Raw genomic sequence first — 27,273 nt, 5'->3', positions numbered from 1 at the left:
GATGAGAAATTATGAGAAAGACACATCATGTCTGTGATAGTCTTCTAAAAACCATAACCCCAGTGTAACCATGAGAAAAACATCAAACCTAAATTGAGAGACACTCTGAAAAATACCTGACCTTTACTTCTTAAAATTGTCAAGGTCATGAAAAGCAAGAAAAGTTTAAGAAACTGTCACAGACCACAGAAGGCTAAGAACACAAAATGACCAAGTACAATTCAGTATCCTGGGTGGGAATCTGGAACAAAAAGGATGATGGGAAAAACTAGTGACATTTGAATAAAGCCTGGAGCTTAGTTGATACTAATTTACTGATGGACATTGGAATTATTATGAAGCCAAAAGAAGATCATTTCTCATAGATTTATTTTTCATGTTATTATTTTTTGAGACGGAGTCTCGCTCTGTTGCCCAAGGCTGGAGTACAGTGGTGCAATCTCAGCTCACTGCAACCTCTGCCTCCCAGGTTCAAACAGTTCTCATGCCTCAGCCTCCCGAGTAGCTAGGACTACAGGCGCGTGCCACCACACCCAGCTAATTTTTGTATTTTTTGTACAAAAATGGGGTTTCACCATGTTGGCCAGGCTGGTCTTGAACTCCTGACCTCAAGTGATCTGCCTGCCTTGGTCTCCAAAAATGCTGGGATTACAGGTGTGAGCCACCGTGCCAGGCCTCTTACGTACATTTTAGATATTGCAAATATCTTCTTTACATATCAGCCTCATATATACATTTTAGATAATGCAAATATCTTTACATATCAGCCTCATATATACATTTTAGATACTGCAAATATCTTCTTTACATCTATGATCTCTTCATTTTGACTATGGTACACTTCACTGAACAGAAATCTTCAAATGCAAGGGTGAGTAATATTTAGGCCATGTGATTTGATTATAATACAATTAAAAAATCTTTTAAAAATCTCATAGATTTCAAAAATAAATAACATATACTATATAACCCTTGTGTTAGAAAGAATCACTATGTAAAAAATAGAGGTTCCTCTTCAAAGACTTTCCTCCCTGTCTAATTACGAATAAATAGTAACTTCTCTTAGAAGTAAAATTTATTCAAAGACCTGTGCTAACATTCTTAGATATCTGCTAGCCGTAATAAAGAAATTAATATACTTTGTGTTCTTAGCTCCCACAATTTAGCCTAAATATTTGCCCTTGCATGCTTATACTGGTCCAAGCAAGCATTAGGTCATAGCCTGTTCCTCTTCCTATTTGGAGGTGTTTTTACCTTTCTCAGCATTCTACAAGTTACATCCTCCTTCCTTTGTTCTCCTCTGCCTTTGCCTCTTTTAGAAAGTTCTAAGTTGTTAGCCAATCGGGACAAACACAGAATGTGAGGTCCTGTTCCAGCCAATGGAAACCGGACACAGCAGTAGGGTGGATGCGTCAGGTTATAAATAACCCTGTATCCTTTGTTTGGGGTACTCTCGTGGCAAAACTGCTGGCGAGTGTACCCTTTCTGCAGAAAGTGAAAATGGCCTTGCTGAGAAAATTAAATTTATGTTCAAGTGCTATTTCTTTGCGGCACCAGGGAACAAGCATTTCTAACAACTAGCAAAATTAGGACATATCTAATTGAAGGATAATGAACATATTACCAAGCGGACTGGTGAGACACAGTTAAACTGGTACTTAAAGGTAAATTTATAGCATTAAATACAAGAGAAACAAAAAAGTTTACAAGCAAACGAGGTAGGCATTTTTCTCCAAAAGTTGTAATGAGAAGTAACAGAACAAGCCTATGAAGTCACGAAGGAAGAAAATAACAGAATGGAAGAAATAGATAAAATAGATAAGAAAATAACATTATAGATTAATTAAACCAAAAGCGATTTACCCGCCCCCCAAAAAGATTGCTAAAATAGACTTTTGGCAGAATTGGTCAATTCAAAAAAAAAATCAAAGCTGCAAGTAAACTGAGTGGGCAAACTTTCTGTAAAGGGCCAGACAGTAAATATTTTAAGCTTTTCATACATGGTCTCTGGCAATTAATCAACTTTGCTGTTGAAGCAGGAAAACAGGCATAAATAATACCGAAAGGAATGGGCATGTTTGTTGTTCCAATAAAACTTTATTTATGGACACTGAATTTTGAATTTCATATAATTTTCACATGCCACAAAATATTCTCTTTTTAGCCATTAAAAAAACGTGAAATCGGTTCTTAGCTTGCTGCCAGCTGTACAAAAACAGGTGGCAGGCTGGATTCAACTGGCCCCAGATGTAACTAGAAGAGGACAGATGTTAGGTTCAGTTGTTTCCTCACAATCCCTTAAGCATGGATAGTCAACAAAGGGACCACACCTGAGAATTATAACAGCTGGCCTTCTGGTGGGCAAACCATCCCCTGATGGACTGGAAGCCTACCCCCCACCCCAAGCCCTGGCTGCGACAGCTCTGGAACCCTGACTGCCTGGGTGCCCCTCAGCTCTGGAACCCTGACTGCCTGGATGCTCCTCAGCTCTGGAACCCTGACTGCTTGGATACCCCCTCAGCTCTGGAACCCTGACTGCCTGGAACCGTGATCCGGAACCCAAGATCCTTTCAAGGCCTCAGGGGTATTGCTGCTGCCCTCCTCCTTCTCAATTTAACCCCGCGTCCAGCCGTCGCCACCAGGGGCGTCAGAGCGCGCGCATGCTCCTAGCTCGGAGCCGCGCCGATCTCGCGCCGGCACCTGGCAGCCAATCGCAGGTCTCCACTGGACGCGCGCGTGTGGAGGCGTGCGCGTCGGCGGCGCCGGGGGCCTGAGGAGGCGTAGTCGCCGCCGGCTGTGCCCCGGGAGCGCCTCCGGGGCTGGTGCGTGGCCGGCAGCTCGCGAACAGCAGCTGATCCGGACTGGTAAGGACGGGGGCGTGGCGCGGCTTCAGCGTTCCCTGAGGGGAGACTTGAGGGATTTCATGGCGAGCCGCAGCCCTGCGGGTCGCGACACCGCGCTTGGCCGTGCGCTGCCGGAGCGGCCTTTGCAATACAGCCGCTTTCTGTGGGGGAGTGCAGGGCAGAAGCAGGTCCCACGATCCCCTCACGCACACCCCCTTCCCTAATCTCAGCGGGCGCCACTTTTACATCAGCCTCCACTCCCTCACGCAGACGCCCCCACCCCCGGGCTGGGCCCGGGCCTCCTGGAGAAGGGGCCTTTCCTGGCTCCCAGTGCGCTCCCCTCCCCCATCGCCCCCGCGGGGTCTCTTTTGGCGCTCAATGTATTTAAAAATCTGAAAACTGCTTTGTAACCCCAGGCCCTCCCCAGTTCTGGAGACCTGTAGGCCCAGACCCCTTAAGGCATTTGAATGTATGGGTCTCTCTCCCCTACCGCAGCGTCTTGTCTCATTTACTGCGTCGCTGTCGGGACTCTTAATGCAGCCCCTGGGACCCTAATGGAGTCCCTCCCGTGAGAGCCAGGACCTCGGGTGATTTGCAGGCTTTTGATTTGGGCAGTTGGCGGGTGGGACGTTTTCCTTTGCTAAGGTAGGGTAGATTGGAGGAACAGATCTGGGGGAAAGGAGTTCAGTTCACTTATCTGGTTAAGTGTGAGATGATTGATAAACACCTAAATGGCAATGTCAGGCAGTGGGATCGAAAATATTCTTGTGACATGTAAGTAACTAATGCTTCTCTCTGGTTACCTCAAGGATGTGACCTTCTGCCTGGAATAGCTCAAGTTCTTAAAAGTTGCGTTGTAATAAACCTGAGGTAAGAAAAGAGAAGTCTCCCTGATGAGGACCAAAGTTGTATTTTCGTCCTTCAGTTTCGCTCCCCTGCCCTTTCCTTTGCTGAAACATAGCTGTTTGGTATTCAATATTTTACTGAGGGAATCTGAATGATGTGTTTGATTAGTTCAGGCCAATTGTTGATGTAGGTCATTCGGGAACCCTCTAAATTGCTTTGTTGAGAAAGGAGAGGGTGGTAGTGGCATTCTTTTACCACATCTCTTGAAAAAAAAAAAAAGAGCATCAGGGATGTTAAGTTATATAAAGCTGACTCCTTTTATCCTACCCTCTTTCTCAGCGACTGTATTTCATGAGGTAACTGCATGCAGCAGGACAGGGGAGGTCATCTGAAGTCATTGCATGCCAGTAGGTGAGATTATAGTGAATTGTGTGCCCAGCAATTTGTGATTACAGCTCAGTGAGACCCATTGTATTAGTTATCTATTGCCGTGTAACAAATTGTCTCAAAACTTAGTAGTTTAAAAAAAAATTTATTACCTCATAGTTTTTGAAGGTCTGGAATCCAAGAGTGGCTTAGCTGGCTGTTTCTGGCTCAAGGTCACTCATGAGGTTTCAGTGAAACCCTTGGCTGGATTGTCAGTCTCTGCGGAATTGACTTGGTTTGGATCATCTGCCTCTAAGCTCACTCACTGGGCTGTTGGCAAGAGGCCTCAGTTCCTTGCTCTGTGGGCCTCTCCATGGGGCTGTTCATGTCACAGCAGCTGGCTTACTTCAGAGCAAATGATTCAAGAGACCTTGTACCCAAGATGAAGGGCAGAGTCTTTATGACCTAATTTCTGAAGTGGCATACCATCACTTCCTGCTGTATGTGCTTGATCCCACAGGCCAACCCTGTTAGTGGGAGAGGGCTACAACTATGTGAATTCCAGGAAGTGGGATTCATTTAGGGCCATCTTGGAGGATGGCCACCGCAACCATTTATCCACCATTTAACCCTTTTCCATAGGATCTCAAAGCATTGTCCTGTTACTCTGGGTGAATAATTTGACTTCTTGCTAAGGCCAGAACCTCTACATGTGCACTTGTTTATTTAAGGATATTATTCTAGCAAGACTTCTCTTTGTCTAGGGTTAAGTTTTCTATCTCTCCAGATCATTAATATAGCAAACATACTGATTGTACCATCACCTCACCTTAAAGATCTCGTTTTTGATGCCACATCTCCCATCTGCTTGTTTTAATTTGTATTTGCTTGTCCTTACAGGAAAATTTCTCCAGAGTTGTCCGTATTTGCTATCTCCTGTTCTCGTTCTTCCTTAAACCCACTGCTGTCAAGGTCACCAATGAATTCCACTTTGCTTAATCCATTGGTCAGTTTTAGTTGATTTTCGTGATTTTATTTGATCTATTGGCAGCATATATTACAGTTCCTTTTCTCCTCCCCATTGGATTCTGGGATGCTTCTCTTTCTCAATTCTCCTCCCACCTGAATGGCTGTGAATAATTGTTTTTTTTTTAATTTCCTTTACCAGCTCCTTCTCATCTCCATGACCTCTAATCAATGGAATGCTCCAGAGCTTAGATCTCAGACCTCTTTTCCCTGAGTGATCTCATCCAGTCTTGTGTTTTAAATAATGCTACATACTGAAGACTTCAAAATTTAAGTACCTACCTCGGAACTTTCCTTGGGCTCTGATCTCATAGATTTACCTGCTCAGCATTACCTCTTGTGTGTCCTCCTCCTCTCCTTCACATCCCAAACCCAATCCATCAATGAACCTTGTGGGCCTTCTAGATTTTTATCTAGAGTCCGACTTCTTAGTATCTCTATTTCTCCATCCTGTCTGATACTACCATCATCTTTTGTTCATAATATTTCAGTAGCTTCTTGTCTTCTGCTTCCACTATTACTCTCTAAAGTCTATTCTCCACACAGTAGCCACAGCAATCCTAATGAAATGAGTGAGATCATATTACTTCTCACTCAGAGCCTTCCAGTAATCTCTCATCACACTCAGGGTAAAATCTGAAGAATTTGTTTTTATTTTTTGTCTATTTATGTACTTATTTTTTGAGATGGAGTTTCGCTCTGTCACCCAGGCTGGAGTGCAATGGCGCAGTCTCGGCTCACTGCAACCTCTGCTTCCTGGGTTCAAGTGATTCTCCTCCTCAGCCTCCCAAGTAGCTGGGATTACAGGTGCCCGCCACCACACCCAGCTAATTTTTGTATTATTATTATTTTATTTTTATTTTTATTTATTTTTTTGAGATGGAGTCTTGCTCTGCCACCCAGGCTGGAGTGCAGTGGCATGATCTCAGCACACCGCAGCCTCTGTCTTCTGGGTTCAAGCAATTCTCCTGCCTCAGCCTCCCGAGTAGCTGGGACTACAGGCACGTGCCAGCACACTTGGCTACGTTTTGTATTTTTAGTAGAGACGGGGTTTCACCATGTTGGCCAGGCCGGTCTCGAACTTCTGACCTCAGGTGATCCACCCGCCTCGGCCTCCCAAAGTGTTGGGATTACAGATGTGAGCCACCACACCTGGCCAAAGCTGAAGAATTTAGAATGGCCTACATGATCTTGGCTTTCCTTTGCCACAAACAGCTCATTTTTTATCTCATTTCTAACTTGTCACTCTTTTCATTGGTCCACCTGTGTTAGCCTATTGATCAGTCCTTGCATGTGTTAAGTGCTCCAGTCTCAGAGGCTTTGTGTTTGCTGTTCCCTTTGTTGGAGTATTCTTCCCCAGATAGCCATATTCATGTTATGTGAGTATCAACCTGCCTCCATTTCCTACTTTATTTTTCTCCCTAGTGTTTATATAACCATGTTACTTTTGTTAAAAAAATTATTTTCTGACTACCCCTTCTGGAATGTCAGCTCCCTGAAGTGAAAGACTTTGGATCACTGCTATATCACCAGACCAATACATGGCACCTTGTTGGCCCACCAAACTTTTATTGAATGAGTGGTCTTCTTAAATTCGTCTCAAATACTACCTTGATGCTTCCCTTTCTCCTTTTCTCTGTAGTAATGAGATTATGAGAACTGTGCAGATTCTTGATCATTCCTGTATAATTTCTCTCTTAGTTTTTTGTGGACTGGGATATGTTTTAATTCTACTGATTGAATACATTTTATAGCTATAGTTCCACTAAAATAGCAAACATCAGAACATCAAATGTGTATGTTTGGCTACACACAGAACCTTATATGATGGTCTTTCTGTAGATTAACAATTTCTCCCTAATTTCTTAACATCCCTCCCACCAGCTCAGTTCTAATGCAGCAATATTACCTTAGGGTCAATTTGATATGTGAAAAGAGAATAGTGACTTTCACCTTTTGGCTTTTAACACCTAGTTAATGTGGGCACAAGTTGTTTGTTTGTTTTTTTTTTTTTTCAGACGGAGTCTTGCTGTGTTGTCCAGGCCGGAGTGCAGTGGCACAATCTCAGCTCACTGCAACCTCTGCCTCCCGGGTTCAAGCAATTCTCCTGCCTCCTGAGTAGCTGGGATTACAGGCGTGTGCCACCACGCTCAGCTAAGTTTTTGTATTTTTAGTAGAGATGGGGTTTCACCATGTTGTTCAGGCTGGTCTGAAACTCCTGGCCTCGTGAGCCACCTGCCTCAGCCTCCCAAAGTGCTGGGATTACAGGCGTGAGCCACCATGCCCGGCCTGGCACAAGTTATTTTAATCTTATTCTTTGTTAGCTTCTTATACTTGTAAACTACAAGTGTGTTTAGGTCCATTCCTTGTTCTTTCCCTTCAGTGTGTAAATTAATCAGTTATTTGGATAATACTGAATAATACAATTCTGAGAGTTGAGCTTTAGCATTAGTGTTGTATAAGTTTGAAACAAAATGTGAATGCTCTGCAGAAGTCTTAACTGGGGTTTTTTCCCTGGGAGCTTCCCAGTCGCAGAGACCCAAGTTACATAGGGAGTCATGATAGGACCTATGTGGTCTGCATAGAATATGCTCTCACAGCTTTTCACAACCTCTAGATTCCTTATAACTAGGTTGACTATGTAATTTATCATCTAAACTGAAGGACTTATTAAAGATTGAAGAGTGGCACTATCCATAATTCCACAGAGATAGAAGTTTAAACTATAACTGTCTTGGTCATACCAGCATATTTGGTAATCCTACGTATAATTTATTTGGTCTTCCAAGTCCTTGGTATCGGAGAAGAGTTCACTCTGCAAGGAGATATAACTGTTCCATCCTTGGGAATGTATGACTCCCACTACAGTTTGTAAATTGACCACCTGATACTAGCTTAATTCTTTTTGTTCGCTAGATGAGCTTGCATTGTTCCATTATCCTTGCTACGAATTGAGTCTGCTTAATGGTGCTTTGAAAATTTAGCAGCAGTTGTTGGGAGATGGGGGGTTATACCAGCCTGTTACTAGGCATTTGTTTTTCTTTGAAATATAGTTCATATGCCATAAAATTCACCCTTTGCGGTGTGAAATTGAATGGTTTTTAGTATTATATACTTACAAAATTGTACAACCATCAGCAATATCTAATTCCAAGACATTTCATCAACTCTAAAGAAACCTTGTATCCATTAGCAGTCACTCCCTATATTACTTTTCCATAGCTGCTATAACAAATTATCACAAACTTGGTGGCATAAAACAACAAAAATTTATTCTCCCTTAGTTCGGGAGGTCAGAAGTCTAAAATAAGTTTCACAAGACCTAAATCAAGATGTTGGCAGGGCTGTCCTCCCCTGGGAAACTCTAGCGGAGAATCCATTCTTTGCATCTTCTAGTTTGTGGATGTGACGTTCTTTGGCTTGTGACCATGTCACTCTAATCTTTGCTTCTGTCTTCACATCACCTTTTCCTAGAGTATGTGTGAAATCTCCCTCTGCTTCTCTTACAAGGACATTTGTGGTGGCATTTAGGGCCCACCTGTATAGTCCAGGATAATTTTCCCATCTGCAAAGATCCTTTTTCCAAATAAGGTATCATTTACAGGCTTAAGGGATTAGGACCTGATATTTTGGGGGCCATTTTTCAAACCTGCTATATTCCTTTCATTCTTCTTCATCGAGCCCATGGCAGCTGCTACTTTATTTCTGTCTGTATGAATTTGCCTTATTCTGGACATTTTGTATAAGTAAAATAATAAAATATGCGGCCTTTTGTGTCTGGTGTTATTCACTTAGTGTATTTTCAAGGTACACCGTATTGTATGCTTGTTTGTACTTAGTTTTTTTATGGCTGAATAGTATTTCATTGTACGGATATACCACAGTTCGTTTATTCATTTATCAATTAATTTACATTCGGTTGTTTGCACTTTGTAGCAGCATTATGGCTATATTCCAGCTAGCTTATATATGTGTTATATTTTCAATTCTCTTGGGTATATACCTAGGAGTGATATTGTTGGGTCATATGGTAACGCCATATTTAAATTTTGAGCAATTGCCAAACTTTTCCAAAGTACAAGTTTATATTATCACCAGCAGTATTTGAGGGTTCAGATAGCTGCACATCCTCTGCAACGCTTGAGATTGTTTTTGCTTATAACTAACCTAGTGGATGTGAAGTAATAGCTCATTGTGATTTTGATTTGCATTTCCTTAATGACTATATTGAGCAGCATTTCATGTGCTGCTTGGCCATTTGTGTATCTTTGGAGAAGTGTTCAAATCCTTCGCCCATTTTTTATTGTTTGTTTTTGAGACAGGGTCTCGCTCTGTTGCCCAGGCTGCAGTACAGTGACACAATTATGGCCCACTGCAACATCAACCTCCCAGGCTCCAGTGATCCTCCCATCTCAGCTGCCACCCTGCCTCATTCCACCCCTGAGTAGCTGGGACTACAGGCGTGTGCCATGATGCCCAGCTAAATTTAAATTTTTTTTTTTTCTTGAGACAGTCTTGCTCTGGCACCAAGGTTGTAGTGCAGTGATGTGATCACGGGCACACTCTACCACGCCCGGTTAATTTTTTAATTTTTTGTAGAGGTAGGGTCTCACTATGTTGTACAAGCTGGTCTGGAATTCCTGAGCTGACTAAGTCCTCCTGCCTCAGCCTCCCAAAATACTGGGATTACAGGTATGAGCCACTGTGCCTGTGTTTTTAAATTTTTTGTAGAGAAGGGGTCTCACTACATTGCTTGGACTGATCTTCAACTCTTGGGCTCAAGCGATCCTCCCATCTCAGCCTTCCAAAGTGTTGGGATTACAGGCATGAGCCACTGTGTCTAGCTTATTTTTTATTTTTTATTTTATTTTATTTTTTTAACAGAGTCTCACTCTGTCGCCCAGGCTGGAGTGTGGTGGCATGATCTCGGCTCACTGTAACCTCTGCCTCCTGGATTCAAGTGATTCTTCCTGCCTCAGCCTCTCGAGTAGCTGCGATTACAGGCGCGTGCCACCATGCCGGCTAATTTTTGTATTTTTAGTAGAGACAGGGTTTTGCTATGTTGGCCAGGCTGGTCTCAAACTCCTGACTGTAAGTGATTCTCCCACCTTGGCCTCCCAGAGTGCTGGGATTATAGACGTGAGCCACCATGCCGATTGGGGCCTGTTTTTAAAATGAATTGTTTTATTGTGGTAAAAACGCATATAATTTACCACCTTAACCATTTCTAAATTAATAGTTCAGTAGTTTCAAGCATTGATGTGAAACAGATCTCTAGAACTTTTTCATCTTGCAGAACTGAAACAATGCCCATTAAACAACAGACTCACCCTTTTCCTCTGCCCCTAGCCCTTGGTAACCATTACTCTACCTTCTGTTTTTTGTTTTTTTGGTTTTTTGTTTTTTTTTTTTTTTTTTTTTTGAGACGGAGTCTTGGTGTGTTGCCCAGGCTGGAGTGCAGTGGTGCGATCTCCACTCACTGCAACTTCTGCCTCCCAGATTCAGGGGATTCTTCTGCCTCAGCTTCCCGAGTAGCTGGGACTACAGGTGTGTGCCACCACTACGCCCAGCTAATTTTTTTTGAAACAGAGTTTCTCTCTTGTCGCCTAGGCTGGAGTGCAGTGGCGTGATCTTAGCTCACTGCAACCTCCGCCTCCTGGGTTCAAGCAATTCTCCTGCCTCAGCCTCCCAAGTAGCTGGGTTTATAGGTGCCTGCCACCACATCTGGCTAATTTTTGTATTTTTTTTAGTAGAGACAGGGTTTTGCCATGTTGGCCAAGCTGATCTCGAACTCCTGACCTCAGATGATCTGCCCACCTCAGCCTCCCAAAGTCCTGGGATTACAGGTGTGAGCCACTGCTTCCGGCCTCTACTTTCTGTTTCTATGAATTTGACTATTTTAGTTACCTCATATAGGTGGAATTATACAAATACAAAAGTATTTGTCTTTTTGTGACTGGTTTATTTTATTTGGCATAATATCCTCAAGGTTCAAACATGTAGCATGTGACAGATTTTCTTCCTTTTTGAGGTTGAATAATATTCTATTGTGTGTGTGTGCATATATATATATATAATATTTTGTTTATTCATTTTTGGGTAGACATTTGGGTTGCTTCTACCCCTTGGCTATTTTAATAGTCCTTCTGTGAACATGGGTGTGCCAGTATCTCTTCGAGACCCTGCTTTCAATTATTTTAGATATATACCCAGAAGTAAGATTGCTAGAACATATAGTAGTTCTGTTTTTAATTTTATGAGGCATTTCTGTACTGTTTTCCATAGTAGTTATACCATTTTACAATCCAGTGACTGTGCATGAGGATTCTAATTTCTTTCCAACAATGTTTGTTTTTTAATAGTAGTCATCCTACTAGGTGTGAGGTGGTATCTCAAGGTGGTTTTAATGTGCATTGCTTTTATGATTAATGACACTGAATATATTTACTTGGTCTTTTGTGTATCATCTTTGGAGAAATGTCTATTCAAGTTCTTTGGCCTTTTAAAAAATTGAGTTATTTGTATTTGTCATCTCCATTATGGTTTTACTTCTTGCTTTCCAATCTGAATGCTTTTTGCTTCCTTTTCTTGCCTAATTACCTTGGCTATAGAACCTCTAGTACGGTGTTGAGTTGAAGTGGTTAAAGTGGATATCTGTCTTGTTCCTGATCTTAGGGGCAGGGGTACTTTCAGTGTCACCATTAAGTATGATACTATAATAGCTGTGAGTCTCATACAGATGCCTTTGTCTGGTGGAGAAAGTTTCCTTCTATTCCCAATCGTTTTGTTGTTTCAAATCATAAAAGGATGTTAGCTTTTGTCAAGTGTTTTTTCTGCAGGCAGGTGTAGTTTTTGTCCTTTATTAAAATGGTATAGGCTGGGCATGGTGGCTCACGCCTGTAATCCCAGCACTTTGGGAGGCCAAGGCAGGCGGATCACCTGAGGTCGGGAGTTCGAGACCAGCCTGACCAGCATGGAGAAACCATGTCTCTACTAAAAATACAAACAAATTAGCTGGGCGTGGTGACGCATGCCTGTAATCCCAGCTACTTGGGAGGCAGAGGCAGGAGAATTGCTTGAACCCGGGAGGCGGAGGTTGTGGTCAGCCAAGATCGTGCCATTTCACTCCAGCCTGGGCAACAAGAATGAAATTCCGACTCAAAAAAAAAATTAAAATTAAAAATAATAAAAATAAAATTATTGTTGGTTGATTTTCATAGAATGAACCATCCTTGTATTTTTTAAATAAATCCCACTTGGTCATGGTATGTAATCGTTATATATGTTGTTAGATTTTGTTTGCTAACATTTTGTTGAGGATTTTTGCCTCTGTAAGGGATATTGGCTGGGCACAGTGGCTCACGCCTGTAATCCCAGCACTTTGGGAGGCCAAGGCGAGCGGATCACGAGGTCAGGAGATTGAGACCATCCTGGCTAAAACAGTGAAACCCCGTCTCCACTAAAAAATACAAAAAAATTAGCTGGGCGTGATGGCGGGCTCCTGTAGTCCCAGCTACTCGGGAGGCTGAGGCAGGAGAATGGCCTGAACCTGGGAGGCGGAGCTTGTAGTGAGCCGAGATCACGCCACTGCACTCCAGCCTGGGCGACAGAGCGAGACCCCGTCTCCAAAAAAAAAAAAAAAAAAAAAGGATATTGGCCTGTAGTTTTCTTTTTTTTTATATGATTTCTTGGTTTGATTTTGGTGTAAGAGTAATAACTAGCCTCATAGAAAGATGTGCAAAGTTTTCTCTCCTCTTCTAATTTTTGGAAGAGTTAATGAAGGATTGGTGTTAATTCTTTTAAAAACGTTAAGAATTTACTAGCATAGCTATCTGATTTTGGGCTTTTATTTGGGGAAGTTTTTTGATTACTAATTCTATTGCTTGTTTTGGATCCATTCATATTTTCTGTTTGTTCTTGAGTCAGTTCATTAGTTCCTGTCTTTCTAGGAATTTGTTTCATCTAGGTTATCTAATTTGTTGACAGATAATTTTTCATAGTATTCCTTTATAATTCTCTTTATTTCTGTGTGGTTGGTAGTAATATACCCTCTTTATTTTTAAAAAATAATTCATTGAGGTGAAAGTCACATAACATCAGTCATTTTAAAATAAACAGTTTAGTGATATTTAGTGCATTTGTAATATTGTACGTGTGCTGCCTCTATCTAGTTCTGATACATTTCCATCATTCCAAAGTAAAACCCCTTTACCCATTAAGCAGTTTCTCACCATTTTCCCTTTCCTATCTTCTGGCAACCACAAATCTTTGTTTAATATCTATGGATTTATCTATTTCTGATATTTCCTGTAAATGAAATCATACAATATATGAGCTTTTGTCACTGACTTCTTTTACATGGTATATTTTCAGGGTTTACCCTGTTGTAGCATGTATCAGTATGTCGTTTCTTTTATGGCTGAATAAACATTCTGTTGTATGTATATACCATGGTTTGTTTATCCATTCATCCATTGATGGACATTTAGGTTGTTTCCACCTTTTGATTATTATGAGTTGTTGCTATAAACAAGTATACATGTACTTGAGTACCTTTATTTCTTTGAGTGTATACTTAGATTTGTGGGATCATAAGTCTATGTTTAACATTTTGAGGAACTGCCAAGCCATTTTGTAATAAAATCTTTTGAGTTTTACAAGCTTTCGTTAATTTCCAGGATCTGAAAAACGTGATTTTTGTAGTTTTTGCTAGTGTTCTCTTTGCTTTTATGAAGCAGCAGCTATTTGTAGGTCTTTATTCCACCATTCCCCTTAACTTCACCCTGTTGCTGGGCATTTAATAAGTTGACTTTGTTATGCCTTTTTTTAGTTGTCTTTTTTTGTGGTCCTCCACAACCCCTCTTTACATCATTCTTCAAGCCCTTTAAAAACTCAGCTTTAGTGAAGAAACTTGACTCTGAACTATCAGACCACTTTTAGTTTGAACTGCCACCCTGTCAAATCTCCTTTGTAACCTCCGCCTCCCGGGTTCAATTGATTCTCTTGCCTCAGCCTACCAAGTAGCTGGGATTACAGGCGCCCACCACCACTCCCGGCAAATTTTTGTGTTTTTAGTAGAGATGGAGTTTCACCATGTTGGTCAGGCTGGTCTCGAACTCCTGACCTCAGGTTATCTGCCTACCTCGGCCTCCCAAAGTGCTGGGATTACAGGTGTGAGCCACTGTGCCTGGCCTTTTTTTTTTTTTTTTTTTTTTTTTTTTTTTTTTTTTTTTAAAGATGGAGACCAAGATTCTGCTCATAGGAGGAAGGGAAGGAAAAGGGGAAAAATGACTGATTTTCTCTGTTGCTTAGGAGTAGATCCCAGGCTGGGCACGGTGCCTCACGCCTGTAATTCCAGTACTTTGGGAGCCTAAGGCGGGTGTATCACCTGAGGTTAGGAGTTTGAGAGCAGCATGACCAATATGATCAAACCCCGTCGCTACTAAAAATACAAAAATTAGATGGGCGTGGTAGCATGTGCCTGTAGTCCCAGCTACTTGGGAGGCCAAGACAGGAGAATTGCTTGAACCCAGGAGGTGGAGGTTGCAGTGAGCCGAGATCACGGCACTGCACTCCAGCCTGGGTGACAGAGCGAGACTCCCATCTCAAAAAAAAAAAAAAAAAGAGTAGATCCCACTCACTGTTATAGCCACACACAAATTTTTTTCAGGCATCAGTCCCACTTGAGTAACTTCTGTGATTAGATTTTAGGCCACCAGGACTCCTATGGTACCTATCCCCACCATCTTCCCTTGCCTATCACTTTCTTCACCCCACTGCTTCTTTCTCAAACTTGTCCCCCACCCCCACAAATAACTCTACACGTTTGCTATCTTAGAATTGAATGCCCATTAAACAGAGATCCTTGCAGTAAATGGGAGTTTTATAGGATCCTTAAAACTACAGCAAACATTTGTATTCCATCCCAGGGCAACTAAATAAAACAAAAATAACTTTTTCATAAATATTTTTTAATAAATACTTTTTCAAAAGTAAGCTGAGGATGGTAGAGGAGTGTAAAATAGGGTTGAAACTAGCCTGAGAGGCCAGGTACAGTGGCTCACGCCTGTAATCCCAGCACTTTTGGAGGCCAAGGTGGGTGGATCACTTGAGGTCAGGAGTTCGAGACCAGTGTGGACAACATGGGGAAACCCCATCTCTAATAAAAATACAAAAAATTAACCAGGCATGGTGGCGCACACCTATAGTCCCAGCTGCTCAGGAGGCTGAGGCACAAGCATCTCAGGAGAAGTTGCAGTGAGTTGAGATTGTGCCACTGCACTCCATCCTGGGTGACACAGCGAGACTCCATCTTAAAAAAAAAAAAAAAAAAAAAGGCCAGGCGCAGTGGCTCACGCCTGTAATCTCAGCATTTTGGGAGGCCGAGGTGGGTGGATAACCTGAGGTCAGGGGTTCGAGACCAGCCTGGCCAACATGGTGAAACTCCATCTCTACTAAAAATACAAAAATTCGCCAGGCATGGTGGTGGGCGCCTGTAATCCCAGCTACTTGGTAGGCTGAGGCAAGAGAATCAATTGAACCTGGGAGGCAGAGTTTGCAGTGAGCCAAGACTGTGCACAAGACTGTGCCACTGCACTCCAGCCTGGGCAACAAGAGCAAGACTCCGTCTCAATTAAAAAAAAAAAAAATCTAGCCTGAGAGTCTAGGAGGGGAGTAACTATTAAACCAAGGTCGTTCCTTATCAAAAGACATGACAGTTGCCACAGACTAAACTGAGAGAAAAATGAAGAATTTACAGATCCTTACTACTATTTCCACTCTTGCTACCTCTCTGACCTTTTATCCCCTTCAAGTGTATGTCCAAATTTACCTTCTCCATGAGACTTACTCTGACTACACTACGTAAAATTACAATTCTCTTATACCTCCTCAACTTCTAAGCCTGCTCTATTATTTTTTTCCTAATTCTATAACGTCATCTTCCAGTTCACCAGAGAATTTGCATTTTTATTATACTTACTATCTTTCTTCCTCCACTGGACTGTTTGTTAGTTCCTTCTGTTGAAATAGTTTGTTTTTGTTGTTCATTTCTGTCTGTTAATGTTTACCGATTTCTCTCAAGTGCCTAAAGCAGTGCCTGGCACACAATAAGCACTCAATATTCATTAATGGAAAAAGGTTATCTAGAAGTAGTCAGAAATCAATTCAAAAAGGTAGACTGAGGGAAAAAGTGGAAAATGTTCAAATGTGGGAAACAGCCAATTTTCTTCAAGTCTGGGAGCTCCTAAGGTGTACTGTTAGAGGAAATGTGACAGCCCCACAATCCTGGGGTTCAGAAGAAAAATATATATGGCCAGATCTCATCATAAGGACCAATAGTTTGGGGAAGCCTTTCCTCAGAAGAGTATGTGTGTGGTTAAAAACTCGTGTGTGGTTATAACAATGGTTTACTAGAGGCTGGGCACGGTGGCTCACGCCTGTAATCCCAGCACTTTGGGAGGCCGACGCAGGCAGATCACAAGGTCAGGAGTTTGAGACCAGCCTGGCCAACATGGTGAAACCCCATCTCTACTAAAAATACAAAAATTAGCCAGGCGTGGTGGCACGCACCTGTAATCCCAGCTCCTCAGGCAGGAAAACTGCTTGAACCCGGGAGGCAGAGATTGCAGTGGGCCGAGATTGCGCCACTGCATTCCAGCCTGGGTGACAGAGCAAGACTCCATCTCAAAAAAAACAAAAAACAATGATCTAGTAGAAGGGCCATTGTTTGAATGCATAGAAATAATCTGGAAGGTGGGTTATCATCCACTGATCTCTCAGCTTTCTTTGGAATTGAAGCCCTCCTATTGGCTTCTCCCATCATGGGAGGTGAGAATTGATTTTTGAGGACAAACCTGTTAGATCTGATATATCTTTGCATGTCTAACCTCCCTACCCCAGTATCTCAAGATTCTGGCAAATTGGAAAATAAGCATTCATTCATCCATTGGTGGACATTTGTAGAGAAGGGTCTCTGGACATCTAGAGGAGAAGAAAACTCTCATGGTCTAATGCTACTCTTGTTCTTAATGAACTTGTTCATTAACTTATTAGCTTTGTTCCTGATCCTTGCTCTATTCCTCTTTTTCACCTTGATTGATGGTTGGATGGAGGGTTAATCAGTATGGACAACAGCCAAAAATCTAACCAAGAGCAACTGGTTAGGAAGTCCAGCAGTGTCATTAGAACCCAGTTTAAGTTTTTCTTCTTTACTTGTTTGATGGTTTATTAACAACAGGAATTCATTTCTCACATTTTTAGGCTGGGAAGTTCAAGATCAAGATGCTGGACGATTTGGTTCCTTAGTGAAGGCTCTCTTCCTGGCTGGTGGATGACAGCCTTCTTGCTGTGTTCTCACATGACAGAAAGAGGAAGCAAGGTCTGTGATATCTCCTCTTATAAGGGCGCCAATCACATCATGAGGGCCCTATCCTCATGAATACATCTTAACCTGATTATTACCCAAAGCCACCATCTCTATATACCATCACATTGGGGGTTATAGCTTCAGTATACAAATTTGGGGGTGGGGGGAACACAGTTCAGCCCATAGCATAACACAAATTATGTATACCTAAAATATTCTCTAGAATTGGAGGAATCATTTAACGCTTAGGGATAGAAGAGTGATATAATTACAGTTGTGTTTTAAGATCCATCTTGTGGTGTTGTGTTATATAATTTGAAGGACAGAGAAAAGAGACAGAACAATTTAGGGTCTAGTACAAGTGTACAAAAATGAAGTAACCAGTGGACCTAAACCTAGAAGTTGCGGCCTGGGCTGGGGGCCATTAATAGGAATGGACATGAGAGGTAGAATGAGTGATGCTCTAAAAGTTATTTAAAATGGCTTATAAGGTACTTTGACATTTTCTGGGAGGTAGAGGAGGTTTGAACAGGTTTACAAAATAGAGAGTGAAAAAATGAATCCAATGAGACACTTTAATTCTTAAAGACTAAGCAGTTAACAGCAATATCATCAGAAATAAGTGTGCACTAAGTCAGTTTTAGCAGAAAGAGCACAAAACCAGAATTCAGGAATTAGGCATCTTAGTGCTAACTCTGTCTACAAACCCTCCATATAACTTTAGTAAATCATAAACTTCTGGGGGCTTTAAAAATTAATCTTCAGATTGGCCGGGCATGGTGGCTTACGCCTGTAATCCCAGCACTTTGGGAGGCCAAGGCAGGCAGACCATGAGGTCAGGAGATGAAGACCATCCTGGCCATCATGGTGAAACCCCGTCTCTACTAAAAATACAAAAATTAGCTGGGCGTGGTGGCGCACCTGTAATCCCAGCTACACGGGAGGCTGAGGCAGGAGAATAACTTGAACCTGGGAAGCAGAGGTTGCAGTGAGCCGAGATCGTGCCACTGCACTTCAGCCTGGGTGACAAAGCAAGACTCCGTCTTGAAAAAGAAAAAATAATAACAATAATAAACTAATTAATCTTCAGATAAATCTAATGGCCATGTTGTCAGATTATAGTCTGATTTTTTAGGATATTGGAGAATATTAATGATTGTGAATTAGAATATTTTCTTTTTTTTTTTTTGAGATGCAGTCTCGCACTGTCACCCGGACTGGAGTGCAGTGACGTGGTCTTGGCTTACTGCAACCTCCGCCTCCTGGATTCAAGCGATTCTCCTGCCTCAGCCTCCCAAGTAGCTGGGATTACAGGTGTCTACCACCAGGCCCAGCTAATTTTTTGTATTTTTAGTAGAGACAGGGTTTCACTATGTTGGCCAGGCTGGTCTCCAATTCCTAACCTTGTGATCCAACTGCCTTGGCCTCCCAAAGTGCTGGGATTACAGGCATGAGCCACCGTGCCCAGCCAGATATTTTCTTTAGAGAGGATGTTAGAAAATACATTTAGAATTATGTAGAAGGTAGTTACTGGAAATGTGGAAGTGATCCTGAGAAGATTGGATTTGGGCAGGAGTTTTCCCACAGGACATTTGGTAATTCCTGGAGCCATTTTTAGTTGCCACCCTGGGGGACTACTGCTGGTTTCTAGTGGGTAGAGATCACAGATGCTGCTAAACATCCTACAGTGCTCTCGACAGCCCCCAGCAAAGAATTATCTAGTCCCAAATGTCAGTAATGCTTAGGAAACACTGGGCTAGGTGACATCATCCTGGAGTTAGGCGATTGAAGTTGTATATAGACAGACTAAACCAATTTTAGTTGACTCCAGAGAGCAGTGTATTCATATCTGCCTTATATTTTTTCTGGCATTATATATCTACTGATTAAGTTGTAAATCACTATTCATGATACACCAGTTTGTATATAGTTGACAATGCTTACTTAATATTGTATTCCTTTTTAAATTCACTTCCAAGGTGATACACATATTTATAGGAATAAATATTGTCTATATGTTCCAAAATTAGATACTGATATCCTAATTAAAATTAAAACAAATGTGCATGGCATTTATTAGATGTCAATTTAATTTTTATGCTTTGGATTATGCTGATTTGAAGGGTCCACATGGGGATACAGTGAATCTTGATATGTTTTTAGAAATTGGTGAGTTATGAACCTTGGTTTCTAGTGCGTACATTTTGCTAGCATTAGACCAGTTTTTGAAACAACTAGTAGTGACCTAGTGATGAGGCTTAACTGATTTTGTGGGTCTGTGGTTAGTTTAAGAAAAATGAGGCTGGGCACAGCTCAGGCTTGTAATCCATGGCTCATGCTTGTAATCCCAGCACTTTGGGAGGCCGAGGCTGGTGAATCACAAGGTCAGGAGTTCAAGACCAGCCTGGCCAACACAGTGAAACTCCGTCTCTACTAAAAAATACAAAAATTAGCTGGGTGTGGTGGCATGTGCCTGTAATCCCAGCTACCCTGGAGGCTGAGTCAGGAGACTTGCTTGAACCCGGGAGGCAGAGGTTGCCGTGAGCTGAGATTGCGCCACTGTACTCCAGCCTGGGCGACAGAGCTAGACTCCGTCTCAAAAAAAAAAAAAAAAAAAGAAAAAAGACAAGAAAAATGAAATAGAAAATTTTAGAATGCAGCCTGTGTAGTAAAGGTAGTTATTATTTATGTGTATGTGCTTGTGTAATTGGACTCCATATAACTTTTTTTTTTTTAAACTATTGGTTGTGGTCAAATATTTGTAAAAAGCTAGCTTTAAGTCCTTTATTGGCCTACGGAATTTCCAATGGATAAAGTTCTCAGAGTAAATTCATAGAAAATGTGGAATTAATGGAGCATAATCTTCTTTAAAAATAAAGGATCTTATGAAGGAGAGTCGATATTTATTGATTCATTTAACAAATTCTGTATTTGTTGAGCACCTGTCCTGTGCCAGACACTGTTCTTTGTGCTGGGCATACAACAGTCAACAAAAGATAGAATACCTGCCCTTTTGAGTTTTATGTTCCACTGGATGGACAATAGAAAATAATCAAGATAAATAGGATCGTAATATGTTAAATGGTGATAGGGCTTTGGGGATGAAAGAAAAGGGAAAAGAGATTAGGAATGTGGGTTAGAGGTTGGTTGGAATATTTGAGAACCTCACCGAGAGGGATACTTGGAATAGAGCCCTAAGGGCAGTGAGGAGCTAGCCATGCGGATACCCAAATGATCATTCATATTGGAAGGAACAAGGGCTTTGAGCAAGGAAAAGAGCTTAGTATGTTCAAGAAATAGCAGGGAGGGCCAGGTGCAGTTCCTCACCCCTGTAATCCTAGCACTTTGGGAGGCCAAGGCACGTGGATCACCTGAGATAAGGAATTCAAGACCAGCCTGGTCAACATGGTGAAACCCGATCTCTACTGAAAATACAAAAATTAGCTGGGTGTGGTGGTGCATGCCTGTAGTCCCAGCTACTCAGGAGGCTGAGGCACAAGAATCACTTGAACCTGGAAGGTGGAGGTTGCAGTGAGCTGAAATATATACCTGGGTGATAGAGCGGGACTCCATCTCAAAAAAATAAAATTTAATTTAAAAAATTAAAATAAATAGCAAGGAGGTTAGTGTGACTACAGTGAAGTGGATAGTGGAGAGTAGTATGAGATAACTGCAGGAGCAGTATGTGGGGTTGGTAGTGTAGTCTTCTAGGCATTGGTAATACTTGGTCTTTTACTCTCAGTTAATCAGAAAGCCGTTTGAGGGTTTTGAGCTGAACAATGATACAGTCTGACTTTGTTTAACACAATCAATCTGCTTGCTATGTGGAGAAGAGATTGAGGAGGAAGCACTGTTGTGTTTAAGTTCAGTGGGTAAGTCAGAACTGGAGGGGAAAATTTAGGAGGCATTACTGAATGGATTATAATTAAGGCCATGAGTTGGGATGAGATTATCTGCCTGGCAATTGACATTGTGCTATGCTGTTTGTTGGTTATGTGTAGGTACTCTAACTCTATAAATTTAATACCTCTTTTCTATATTAATGTTTATGAGATTACTATATATGAATCAATTGAGATATTTTCATTTATTGTAATTTTCTTCCAATTCCACTACAAATCAAGCTGCCATTGAATAGGTGGTGCTTTTAAAAAACCAGCTATTACTGTAAGTCTAAGAAATAAGAATTTTTGCCTTTAAGATAGCAAAATACATTTAAAAGTAAAAAACTTGCTAAAGAGGAAGCATCTGGTGTGTGGCAGACTAAGGATTCCAGCTTACTCTTCAACTCCAAAGCCCATGTTTCTAAACACTGCACAATGATGCCCTCATAAAAATGTGTGTCTTTTCCATATAATTTTGCCTAGTGATTAGCTGCTGGTAGGTTTTTTTTTTTAAAATGGAATAGAGCACAATCAGTACAGCAAAGTTATGATTCTAGATTCATAGGAACCTGATCTTTTATCACAGGTTTTAAGCTGTTATTTATCCTCTTTCAGTCTCAGTGTCCTTGTGGGTAAAATAGTGGTTTATAAAAACAATGTTTTGGAGGAAAATTAAATAAGGTAATGCATTTTCCTGTACTTACTGATGTATGTTTGTACTTAGGTGGCAGTTTATATAAAGGAAGCATTGGGACTTGTGGCCCCACCATTCAGGAATAAAAAAATTAGAAAATGGAACAATCATGTGAGGAAGAGAAAGAGCCTGAACCACAGAAGAACATACAAGAAACCAAACAAGTAGATGACGAAGATGCTGAGCTCATCTTTGTTGGTGTGGAACATGTAAATGAAGATGCTGAGCTAATCTTTGTTGGGGTGACTTCAAATTCAAAACCAGTCGTTTCAAACATTTTGAACAGAGTCACCCCGGGTTCATGGTCAAGGAGAAAAAAGTATGATCACCTTAGAAAAGATACTGCTCGCAAATTGCAGCCTAAAAGTCATGAGACCGTTACATCAGAAGCAGTGACCGTCCTGCCAGCTTCCCAACTTGAATCGAGATCAACAGATAGTCCTATTATTATTGAGCCTTTGTCTAAACCTGATTATAGAAATAGTTCACCACAAGTTGTGCCTAATAACTCTTCAGAATTACCTTCTCCTTTGATTACATTCACAGATTCATTGCATCATCCAGTAAGTACAGCACTTTCAGTAGGAGGTATAAATGAAAGTCCTCGTGTATCAAAGCAACTTTCCACTTTCGAAGTAAACAGCATAAATCCCAAAAGGGCTAAACTCAGGGATGGAATTATAGAAGGAAATTCTTCAGCTTCATTCCCTTCAGATACCTTTCATACAATGAATACTCAGCAAAGTACACCCTCAAATAATGTTCATACCTCATTAAGCCATGTTCAGAATGGAGCACCTTTTCCAGCAGCTTTTCCAAAGGACAATATCCATTTCAAGCCTATAAATACAAATCTTGATAGGGCAAATGAATTGGCAAAAACAGACATTTTGAGTCTAACAAGTCAAAACAAGACCTTTGATCCCAAGAAAGAAAATCCCATTGTGTTACTTAGTGACTTTTACTATGGACAGCATAAAGGAGAAGGGCAGCCGGAACAGAAGACTCACACCACCTTTAAATGCCTCAGCTGCGTGAAAGTTCTAAAAAATGTTAAGTTTATGAATCACGTGAAGCATCATTTGGAATTTGAGAAGCAGAGGAACGACAGCTGGGAAAACCACACCACCTGCCAGCACTGCCACCGGCAGTTTCCCACTCCCTTCCAGCTACAGTGTCACATCGAAAATGTCCACACTGCCCAGGAGCCCTCTACTGTCTGTAAAATCTGTGAATTGTCATTTGAAACAGATCAGGTCCTCTTACAACACATGAAGGACCATCATAAGCCTGGCGAAATGCCCTATGTGTGCCAGGTTTGCCATTATAGATCGTCGGTCTTTGCTGATGTAGAAACACATTTTAGAACGTGCCATGAAAACACAAAGAATTTGCTTTGTCCCTTTTGTCTCAAAATTTTCAAAACAGCAACACCATACATGTGTCATTATAGGGGCCACTGGGGAAAGAGTGCACACCAGTGTTCCAAGTGCCGGCTACAGTTTTTAACTTTCAAGGAGAAAATGGAGCACAAGACCCAGTGTCATCAAATGTTTAAGAAGCCTAAGCAACTAGAAGGATTACCTCCTGAAACAAAAGTTACTATTCAAGTGTCGCTGGAACCTCTTCAGCCAGGATCAGTGGATGTAGCATCCATAACTGTGAGCACATCTGACTCTGAACCATCACTCCCCAGGTCTAAAAGCAAAATTTCAAAAAAGTCCCATTAATTCTAGTTTCAGTAAATCTAAAGCAAGTATTTCAAACCAAATTAAAAAACCTCATAAAACAAAAAATACAAACCATACATTATTCAGTAGCACCAAAAATAGTGAAACTAGTGGATTATATATGACTTTTTAAACAAGATTCAGGATATATATTATTTGATCTGAATTTTGAGGTATTATTTTAAAACATCTGGTTTTCATGTTAACTGTATCTGGCTTAACACATAAAAGGTGTTTGTGTGTGTGTGTGAGAGAGAGAAAAAGGTATTAATTTATTTTTTTAATTTTAATTTTTTTTTTTTTTTTTTTTTTTTTTTTTACTTTAGAGACAGGGTCTCACTGTTACCCAGGCTGGAGTGCAGTGGCGTGATCCTAGCTCACTGCAACCTTGAACTTCCAGGCTCAAGCATTCCTCCGCCTCAGCCTTTGGAGAGTAGCTAGGACTACAGGCGCAGCCACCACACCCAGCTAATTTTTTATTTTAATTTTTTGTAGCGATGGAATCTTGTTATGTCGCCCAGGGTGGTCTCGAACTCCTGACCTTAGGGGAGCCTCCTGCCTCAGCCTCCCCAAGTGCTGGGTTGTGTGAGTCACTGCCCCTGGCACCTATTTATTGTTTTGGTATTTCATGTTACTCCTAAGCTTGAAAGCTCTTTTTTCTATATACAGAATTCATAGAATTTTTGAAATACTTAGTTTTCTTTACAGCTTTTTCCATGCATTCAGCATTTCATGGTTAACTCTAGTCAGACTGGAATGGCTTTGTTATGCCCTGGCCCACTTGCTGCCGAATTCCCAGAAGTGCCTCTGCTGTGCTGGCATAAAATAACCTGAAAAGATTCTGAAAAGCCAGGATGTGGAATTGAAAGAGAAGCTGCTGCGTGAGCAGAGACCAAGAAGGCGGAGGTTAGTTGAGGGAGAGCAGTGGTTCTTTGTTCTAGTTGAAGTATAGGCACACATTCATTCTAGTCTTGGGGCCAGGTCAAAAGGAACACTGCTTCAGAGTGTCTTTACCTACCTGAAAACATCCAAGGAAGCCAAACCATTCAAAGTAAAATGCTTTTGTTTGGTGAAGGGCCCCTGCAGACATCAAACAGCCGTCATGTATCATTGGTTTGAGGTGAAATAGCAATAAAATTAATAGAATGGTGCCTGGTACTAGCTGACTTCCTGTTCTGTGATCTAAAGGTGAATTTGATTCATTCCCTCTCCTCTCCCTTCTGGCTAGCCGTTAGTGGAGAATGAACTGGCCATATTCTCAGCCACAGCTGTAAAGCAAGTTTCCCAAGGGGAAGAAGCCCTAATATCTATAATTTGAACTGTACTGGACCCATAGTTTTAACTGAAAAGGGCCAAACAAGTGGTGTCTGTCCAGTTCCTGGACTGGGCTAAATTTAGTTTTCCCACTGTTAAGCTGGAATGAGGACTGTCCCAACAACAGTAGGTACAGTGGACAAAAATAGCCCAGGGTGACTGACTGAATTTAAACCCATAATGGCTTTATATTTTTCTGTGCATATATATCTTACCCTAATTGAACATGTGAAGCTTGCAACTTTATGTCTTGCTTTGGACATGAATGTATTACAGCTTGCAGCTATTCTGTTAAATGTATAGTTTCCCAGTTTTTTGACACTAATGCTGTTTGGGTCTTACCTGACACACACCAGTGTGCAAGAAATGTCTCTCTAATTCAATAAGTTTTAAGACTTAGAGTTAATGTCCTTCATCTGATCTATCCTATCTAATCTGTACTATGGGTGAATCTTTTTCCCTTGCTCTCCCCAGGGGCTGTTTCACAGTATTCTGGAGTACCTTTTGAGTATTGGTTCCTGAACATCAGCAGTCTTGGCTGCCTCTGTGGACTCCCGGAGTTGTCTCCCTGCTTGTGTTCTGGTGCCATCCTTTGTTCCTCCACCCCTGACCAAGGTGCCCAGCAGCCTGTCTTCACCAGTCAAGGAATCCGCCATCTTGGCTGTAGACATACATAGGTCTGGAGAAATCTCTCCCTTTTTCCTTGATTTCTTTTTAAAGGTACCTTATCTCTCCCCACTCCTTTCTTCCCTCCTCAATCTAGTTAAATTTCCTAAGCTTTCACAAAAATCCGGGAAGAGATAATTAAGAGCTTAGCATCCCTCTTAGAGTAGAAGGCAGTACAGATAACAAAGAAGTTGTGAGTATATTATCTACATTTTAGAAAATTTTCTGACTCTAGATCCATAGATTCTGTTGTATTTATTTGCCGGACACTCATTTGATTGATTTGCACCTTGAACACTATACTAGGTCTTTTCAGTTACGTTGCTTGGGTTAAGACACTTTGCTAAAATTACAGCCTGAATCCTTTCTTTAGTTGAAGAAAGGGTATGTGTGTGCAAGTGGGTGTGTGTGTGCCAGTTTTTCTTGTCTCAGGTAGATACTCCCACTGTGTATAAATAGATCTACAGACTTTTCATACTTACCTCCCGTATTCTGTTTCTGTGGTAAAAATATGAAGTGTTTTAGTTGTATGTTGAGTGATTGGTTGGTATTATCAACACTGTTGTTTGCAGTCTCATTAAAGCATGCTCTTAAGGAGTACATATGGTCATTAATTGCCAACTGTAGATTCCAGTGATCTGGCCCCTGCCTACCTCCTTCCTCTCTTTTTCATTCTCTGTCATGCTTCTCCACTGTTTTCCCCAATGATGCACTATTTTGACACACTGGCCTTGCTATTCCTTAAGCAAATCACATTCTTCCCAATCCAAAGACTTTGCACATGCTGTTGTCTTTCTTAGAATGCCCTTCCCCTAGGCCTGCATGGCTTGCTACCTCACTTAATTGTTTGACACTTCCTTTGGTTCATTGAGCTTCAAGGCTCTTAAAATGCCACTGACAATGAGATCTCCCTTTAAAAAAAAAAAAAAACTTCTACTTTTCCTCTTAAAGGCACTTTACTCTCTCCCCACTCTTTTCTTCCTCTTCAAAGTATTTAAATTTCCTAGGTTTTCATGAAAAAGCTGGAAAGCGATCATCATCAAGGGCTTTGCTTCTGTCTTAGAATTGAGCTAGCTTGAGTCAATTTCTGTGCCTGCAACCAAATGAAAATTAATATAGTGAGTTCTTTCAGGAGCTTTCTCTGTTTTTCTATTGATACCTCTATATATTTTTAAGGCAATGTCACTTTGTTTTGTTTACAAATATATTGAATATGTCAAGATTACTATTTTGTTATTGCCCTTTGTGAATTTCCTTGTCTATTTTGCTCGCTTGTTCTTTCAGGTGAAATTTATTATTTTATTAATGTTGCCAAAAATTATAAGTAAAATATCAATTATAGTAATAAAATGTTTTGTGAAAAAAATGCTGTTGCTGTATTGTTTTTCCACCATAAGTAAAATGGGACGTTTGTTTTGTTTTTTGAGACAGAGTCTCGCTCTGTGACCCAGGCTGGAGTATAGTGGCGCGATCCCAGGTCACTGCAATGTCCACCCCCTGAGTTCAAGTGATTCTTCCTAGCAGCTGGTACTATGGG

At 41.2% G+C, this 27,273-nt stretch overlaps 1 protein-coding gene and 1 further gene across 8 annotated transcripts; one reads left to right on the top strand and one right to left on the bottom strand.

Annotated features, from left to right (window-relative positions):
• Nucleotides 1-27,273, bottom strand: part of IGL (immunoglobulin lambda locus) — an 896,838-nt gene that overhangs the window by 411,391 nt on the left and 458,174 nt on the right.
• On the top strand, nucleotides 2,369-27,102 carry ZNF280B (zinc finger protein 280B). Of its 8 annotated transcripts, none has more exons than NR_130642.2 (5): nucleotides 2,781-2,864; nucleotides 3,653-3,713; nucleotides 17,343-17,460; nucleotides 22,057-24,662; nucleotides 25,545-27,102. NR_130642.2 is itself a non-coding variant. In XM_047441145.1 (5 exons), the coding sequence occupies exon 5, from the start codon at nucleotides 22,125-22,127 to the stop codon at nucleotides 23,754-23,756; it is 1,632 nt and encodes a 543-aa protein (XP_047297101.1). In that variant the 5' UTR covers nucleotides 2,781-2,864; nucleotides 3,653-3,713; nucleotides 4,029-4,100; nucleotides 17,343-17,460; nucleotides 22,057-22,124; the 3' UTR covers nucleotides 23,757-27,102. The 8 variants fall into 8 exon arrangements, 6 of the variants coding, with proteins under 6 accessions (XP_047297102.1, XP_047297100.1, XP_047297101.1 ...); XM_047441145.1 differs by adding an exon at nucleotides 4,029-4,100 and having other exon boundaries at nucleotides 22,057-27,102; XM_047441146.1 differs by lacking the exon at nucleotides 2,781-2,864 and adding an exon at nucleotides 2,369-2,584 and having other exon boundaries at nucleotides 22,057-27,102.

This window comes from Homo sapiens, chromosome 22 (genome assembly GCF_000001405.40).
Source record: "Homo sapiens chromosome 22, GRCh38.p14 Primary Assembly".
Lineage (NCBI taxonomy): Eukaryota > Metazoa > Chordata > Mammalia > Primates > Hominidae > Homo > Homo sapiens.
This window is presented reverse-complemented; position numbering and strand designations above follow the sequence as displayed.

What these genes read in the sequence shown, in the direction of transcription:
- ZNF280B (XM_047441144.1), top strand. Translation starts at nt 22,125, where the DNA reads ATGGAACAATCATGTGAGGAAGAGAAAGAGCCTGAACCACAGAAGAAC.